The sequence below is a fragment of the Homo sapiens genome, chromosome 2 (assembly GCF_000001405.40).
Source record: "Homo sapiens chromosome 2, GRCh38.p14 Primary Assembly".
Lineage (NCBI taxonomy): Eukaryota > Metazoa > Chordata > Mammalia > Primates > Hominidae > Homo > Homo sapiens.
In genome coordinates, this window is record NC_000002.12 from 119,155,876 (window position 1) to 119,161,601 (window position 5,726).

General features: G+C 59.7%; 1 protein-coding gene across 1 annotated transcript, besides 1 other annotated feature; it reads right to left on the reverse strand.

Annotated features, from left to right (window-relative positions):
- Positions 1-367: 367 nt before the first annotated feature.
- On the reverse strand, positions 368-2,876 carry C1QL2 (complement C1q like 2). The gene is made up of 2 exons (NM_182528.4): positions 1,711-2,876; positions 368-1,106 (listed from the first exon to the last, which is right to left on the reverse strand). Exons 1-2 carry the CDS (start codon positions 2,392-2,394, stop codon positions 927-929), a joined length of 864 nt encoding a protein of 287 aa, NP_872334.2. The 5' UTR covers positions 2,395-2,876; the 3' UTR covers positions 368-926.
- Positions 1,244-2,054: an enhancer, noted in NCBI's record as "H3K27ac-H3K4me1 hESC enhancer chr2:119914695-119915505 (GRCh37/hg19 assembly coordinates)". NCBI's record gives its function as "activates a minimal SCP1, AML or CMV promoter by ChIP-STARR-seq in primed H9 embryonic stem cells {active_cell/tissue: H9 hESC(primed)}" and the evidence as "EXISTENCE:reporter gene assay evidence [ECO:0000049][PMID:30033119]".
- Positions 2,877-5,726: the final 2,850 nt, after the last annotated feature.

Genomic DNA, 5,726 nt, shown 5'->3' on the forward strand with positions numbered 1-5,726 from the left:
CTCTGACCTCCACCCACAACTCCGGGAGGACTAAGTTGCCCAAGTTGCCCAAGACTGGAGACCCAATCATTCCTCTCCTGCTTTCCTCTAACTCTCCCTGATGCCTTTCCCCGCCTCCTCCCCTCCTCCCAACCCCACCTCCGGCCTCTCCAGCTCAGGGCTGCAGCCTGGGGAGAGCTTCTGGGAAGGGTGGGATGCAGCTCCCATTTACCCCATGTCTTTTCGGCAACTTCTGGTGGCAGGGACATAGCAGCGGCTGGGGAGCAGGTCATAGATGGGCCTATCCTGGGCCCAGGTAAGGTCTTTATGCCAAGGCGGACATCTGGAGCCCTGGTCCAGGATGTGTCGACATACAGACAACAGAACGCATAGTCTAAAAACATAATTTAATGCATCGCGGTGAGTCTGAGTCAGGAGGGAATGCGGTGTGGAGAGGTGAATTTTCTGTTTGCTGGAATTCTGCTGTGGGTGGGGTTTTGGCTGATGGACAGGGAAATCTGCACAAGTATTTCGGGTCACAAAGAAGGACGCCCCAGGAAGCCCGCGCTCCCTCTGGCCTACCTCCCTGGCCAGGGCCCGGAGCCCTCCGCTTCTAGGCACTGGGAGGAGGCTGTCTGAGGAGGGCAGGCTCCCGGCCCTGCCTGTCCAGTCTAATCAGGTTTGCAAAGTCTGTGCCGCCGCCTCAAGGGCTCGGGCGTCCCTTCCTCCCTTGCCGGGATGGGGATGGAGACCAGGAGCACAGCCCTGAGCGTGGTGGGTCGCAGACGCACTGAGGCCAGGAGCGGGGCAGGGAGGACGCAGGGATTTGTCTTTTCCAAAGGAGATGTCAGGAAGTGTTATGAATCGAGAGTGGCCTTTGCCAAGGAGCCGCGCCCGGGCGGAGACCGGGCGGCCTGCAGCCACCCCGCCTCGCACCCCCCGCGCCCCTAATCCGGGTACAGAAGAAAGCCCGAGAACGTGCTGTACTTGTTATTATTGCCTCCGTGAGCCTTCCCGCCATCCAGCTTCACATACACTTCGTCCCCTGAATCCAAGTGCAGCACCACGCTGTTACTGGCGTAGTCGTAGTTCTGGTCGGCGTCCTGTGCAATGGCGCTGGCCCGGACCTGGGGACAAGCGGTGGGAGCAGGTGAGCCGGGGCACCTCTTCCCGCGCCTTTGCTCAGCCCACACCAGGCGCGCCACTCACGGGCCTCCCGCCTGCTGCTTCAGGGTCCACACTCCCACCCCAGCTCCATGTTCTCTCTCCAACTTAGTCAACTCCTTCCAGGTCCCCCCTCCTCCTCGCGCCGACGAGTCTGGGAAATAGGGAGAGGGGAAGCTTCATGAACACTGACCCAGAGTGGAAGGGTGGGAGCCAGGGGCCAGGGCCAAGAGGAAAGGAGGCTGCAGGGCAAGGGGGCGACCTGGAGAGAACTAAAGAACTGAGGTTTCCGAGAAGCCCACGGAGAGGCAGGCAGGGACGCAAGTGGCCAAGGAGTGTAGTTTAGGTATGGGGGTCTCTGGGCTCTCAAGGCCCAACATTTGGCTCTACGTCCCGGTGAGCGCGGCCTCGGCGCATCGGGAAGCGGAGATACTGTGGCACCGAGGCGCGTTCATTCCCGGGGCTCGCAGGGTAGCCCGCGGGTGGAGAGAAAGGAGGCTGGTTCCCTGGGAGGTTCAGGGCGCGGGCGAGGGTTTACGGGGGCCGGTGAGTGTAGGGGTCACTGACCTGCCCGTTCTTGCAGAGGTCCGCCCACATGCTGGTGCCGTCGCCGCCGCGCATGAGGATGTGGTAGGTGAAGAAGTAGATGCCGCGTACCTGGCAGCTGAACTTGCCCGTGGTGGGGTCATAGTGATTGCCGAGGTTGGTGACCACGTCATCGAACTTCAGCACCTCATAGCCTTCGTGGGGGCTCTTGAGACCCACATAGAAGGCGATCTTGGGGCCGCTGAAGGTGGCGCTCAGCGCACTGGTCACTTCACCCTCGGAATCGCCACCTACCCCGGCCCCGCCGCCCACCACCCCGACGCCGCTGGCCGTGCCCGCCGTCAGTTGCAGCCCTGGCAGCCCGGGCCGCCCCGAGTCGCCCTTCTCTCCCGGAGGGCCCCTGGGTCCAGGCGGGCCCGGCTCTCCAGGGGGCCCCCGCGGCCCTGGCTTGCCCGGTCGCCCCGGGTCGCCCTTGGGTCCCTGGATGAAAGGAGGAGGAGGGTTGGCGCTGAGGTCCTGCATGACTTCCAGGGCGGCGGTGCTGGGTCCGGGTGGCTGCGCCTTTGCACCCGGGGGCTCCCCGCCGGGCGCGGCAGTGTAAGGGTCGCAGATCATGCGGCAGGTGCCCATCATCTCATAGTGCGCGGCGCCTCGGGGCGCCGCCTGCAGCAGCAGCGGCACGGCGATGAGCAGCCCGAGCGCCATGGCCAAGAGTACGCCGACGGCCGCCAGGCAGGCACGCCGCCGCCGCTGCCACAGCCGGGAGGCGACCGCCACCAGCTCCTCCTTGCCGCCCGGGGAGGTAATGGTGGGGCGGCGCGGGCGGCCCCGCTCCCCGCGCTCGGGGACCGGCTCCGCGGGTCCTGGCCGCGCCCCCGACGTGGCGACCCCCAGCCCCGGCTACCCAACTACTTCAGCGAGAGGCGCCGGGACCTCTGAGCCTGGGCCCACCGCGCTGGGGCTGGTCGGGAGAGCCGCGGACGCCCGCGCGCATGACGTGGGGCACACAAGACGAATCCGGCGCCCCGAGGGTCCGGCGCCGGCCAGGGAGTGCTTGCGCTGGCCGGGGAGTCTGCTTGCGGCGTCCGGCGCTGGCTCCGCGGCGCTGCCTCCCGCCAGGCTCCGCTCCGCTGGGTTTAGTGGGGCTCCTAGCGCAGTGAGGGCGCCCCGGCTCCGCGGCGCGCTCTGCTGTGCTCTCTCGCTGTTCGCTGGCTCCCGCGCGGAGGGGGGACCCCGCTACCCTGACGTAAGGAGTCCGGGGCTGAGCGGCGGAGGCGGCGAAGCAGCGCGCGCTGCCATCACTCGGGAGACGGAGCCCTCATGTCATCAGCCTCCTATCTGGCGGCGTCCTCGGCAGAGGCGGTGAAGGCGCGGTTCCCCCTGGCGGCTCCCAGGAGCCACAAGTGGGCGCAGCGGGCGCGGTCCCAAGCCGGGGCACATCGGACACACCCACCCGCGGCCACACTCACGCGCCCCCCACCGATAACACACACAGACACCCACGCACGCAGTGGCGGGGCACGCACAGCCACCCCCACATGGCCACGAAAGCAGCTGGAATCCAGGTGTCAGCAGGGCTCCTCTGGGGTCACCTAATCCATCCCCTGGCCTGCAAAGAGGATCAAACCTCAACCCACCGAGTCCAGGAGAGTCCCGTGAGGTCCAGCGGGAAGGAGTTTCTGAAAGACCTCCTGAGTTATTTCTTCAGAATTGAATAGATCTCGCTTCTGGAAGATCTTTCGCAAACCTAGACTAAGGACTCCAGACTCTTAAACAGGCTCCCGTAGAGCACCCCACTAACCTCTGAGGTGACTCTAAAAAGCCCAAGGCTCCCAATACAAGAATATTTGCGGCCGGGCGCAGTGGCTCACGCCTGTGATCCCAACACTTTGGGAGGCCGAAGCGGGCAGATCACCTGAGGTTGGGAGTTTGAGACCAGCCTGACCAACATGATGAAACCCCGTCTGTACTAAAAACACAAAATTAACTGGGCATGGTGGTGCATGCCCGTAATCCCAGCTACGCGGAAGGCTGAGGCAGGAGAGTCGCTTGAACCAGAGAGGCAGAGGTTGCGGTGAGGCGGGATCGTGCCATTGCACTCCAGCCTGGGCAACAAAAGCAAAAGTCCATCTCAAAAAAAAAAAAAAAAAAAAGGAATATTCGCCTCAGACCTTTTCTTCCACCAGAAAATGGCTGGCCCTTGTCCTCTGCGTGAAGCTGGTGTAGAAACCAAATGCTTGATGCCGGCACTTGGCAGTGATCATGGTGCACTCAGCTTCTACTCCAAGCCCGGCCACTGCCAGGCAGATGCATGGGCACATTCCCTTGGACATCCCCAGCTTCCTCCTCCTGAGATGGGTTTAGTTATTTTAGAAAATAGTCCAAATAGTCCAAAGCCATTCTGAGCCAGTCTTGAATAAACCATGGCCTCAGATGAGAGCAGAATAGTCTATCTCCAATGTAGCATGTGAGGCTAAGGAAGGATGAGAGGCCCGCCGGTGTGGGAGAGACTTCCAGCGGAGAAATCAAAGCCCCAGCTTCTGCTCTTGCCCTGAGTAGCTGTGTGATTTTGCCAGGTGGTTCCTGTCCCTGAGACTCAGTTTCCTTAAAAGGCCGCCTCCTGCCCTAGCACCCCCAACATGGGAATCACACCAGGCCTGTCCTGGGGGGAGAATCTAAGGGCTGGTGTCAGTGTTTGGTGTAGCATCAGCATCTCTGGAACAACAGTGCACCCACCTAAGGCTATTGCTTTGAAGCTAACTCTCATTTGTCCTGCACTAGGTTCTTACGGGTTAATTAAAATCTATTTTTGTCCTCTGATCACCCTGGGTCATTTCCCCACTCCCAACCTCGTTGCTCTAGCCTGTTCTCTCCACATATATTTGTGGAAAGGATGACTGAGCCTAGCCGGAAGCCAACTTTACCAAGGAGAGAAGGAGCACATTTATTGGCACCTACTACGTATGCATCAGGCACTTTGCACGTGCTCCTTCATTCATTCCTCATGTTACTGTGGATTAGTGATCATTTTCCCACCGCACCAATGAGGAAAAAAAAAAGGTTTTGCAAGTGTAGGGTGTTTGCCAAGTGCATTTTACCCACATGACAGAGCCAGGATCCTCCCGGCACCCAGATCAGGGGCTATCTGAACCTGTCAGTGAACACAGCTTCAACAGCTACTTCTTGGCCACAGTCTTCACTGGTTTCCTCAGACTTGGGAGTCTTTCTCCACTCTCTGCCTCAGAGTCATCCCAAGAGCACGTGATTTCAGGAGCCACATGGCCTACTTCCAATCCTGGGTCTGAGACTTCCTGTCTGTGTGACCTTGAGCAAGTTGCTTCATCTCTCTGAGCTCGGATCTCCATGTGTAGAATGGGAATGGAAAAAGAACCTACCTCTAAGTTATTGAGAAGACTGAACGAGCCAATTAATGTAAAGGCTTTAGAACAATAGCTAGCTCAGTAGAAGCTTAGCTATTTTTATTAGCTATTGATGCTTTCAACCTCCCCTGCCATGGTTATGACCACTAGGATGCGACATGAAGGCAATATGCAGGGTGGCATGGGGAGGGTTAGGGTTTTAAAAAAAGAGAAGCTCAAAGATAATTCACATCCTTTGTCCTTCTCCAGAGCGCAGAAGGGGGATGTCCCATGCCTCCCACATTCCCCAAGCCTGCCCTGCTCTGTCTTTTTGTCTTTCAAAACTACCCAGAGTGTTTGTTCCCAGTCACCAGTTCCACCTGGACAAACATTTTCCAGGCAGACACTCACTCCGTTTGAATTCCCCAGCCTTTCAGACTGCTGGAGACTGCCAAGTCCCAGTGATTTTGTCCTTGCAGTATCTGGGCAAAGATGAAGCAAGGAGGGTCAGATGTTTGAGACCCAGGCTTTCACCTTGGCAGACCACAAGCAAAGCTACCTTCCCTGGGGATCAGCATTCCTGGGAGCGCCTCTCAAGACCAGCCCTCCACCAGGAGGCAGGGGCAGCAGGCTCCAGGGCAGGCAGAGCCCAGGCAGCCTCCACATAGCAGCCAAATA

What these genes read in the sequence shown, in the direction of transcription:
- C1QL2 (NM_182528.4), bottom strand. Translation starts at nt 2,394, where the DNA reads ATGGCGCTCGGGCTGCTCATCGCCGTGCCGCTGCTGCTGCAGGCGGCG. An exon ending in ACCTCTGCAAGAACGGGCAG is followed by an intron (nt 1,107 to 1,710) that starts GTCAGTGACCCC and finishes GCTTGTCCCCAG; the next exon opens with GTCCGGGCCAGCGCCATTGC.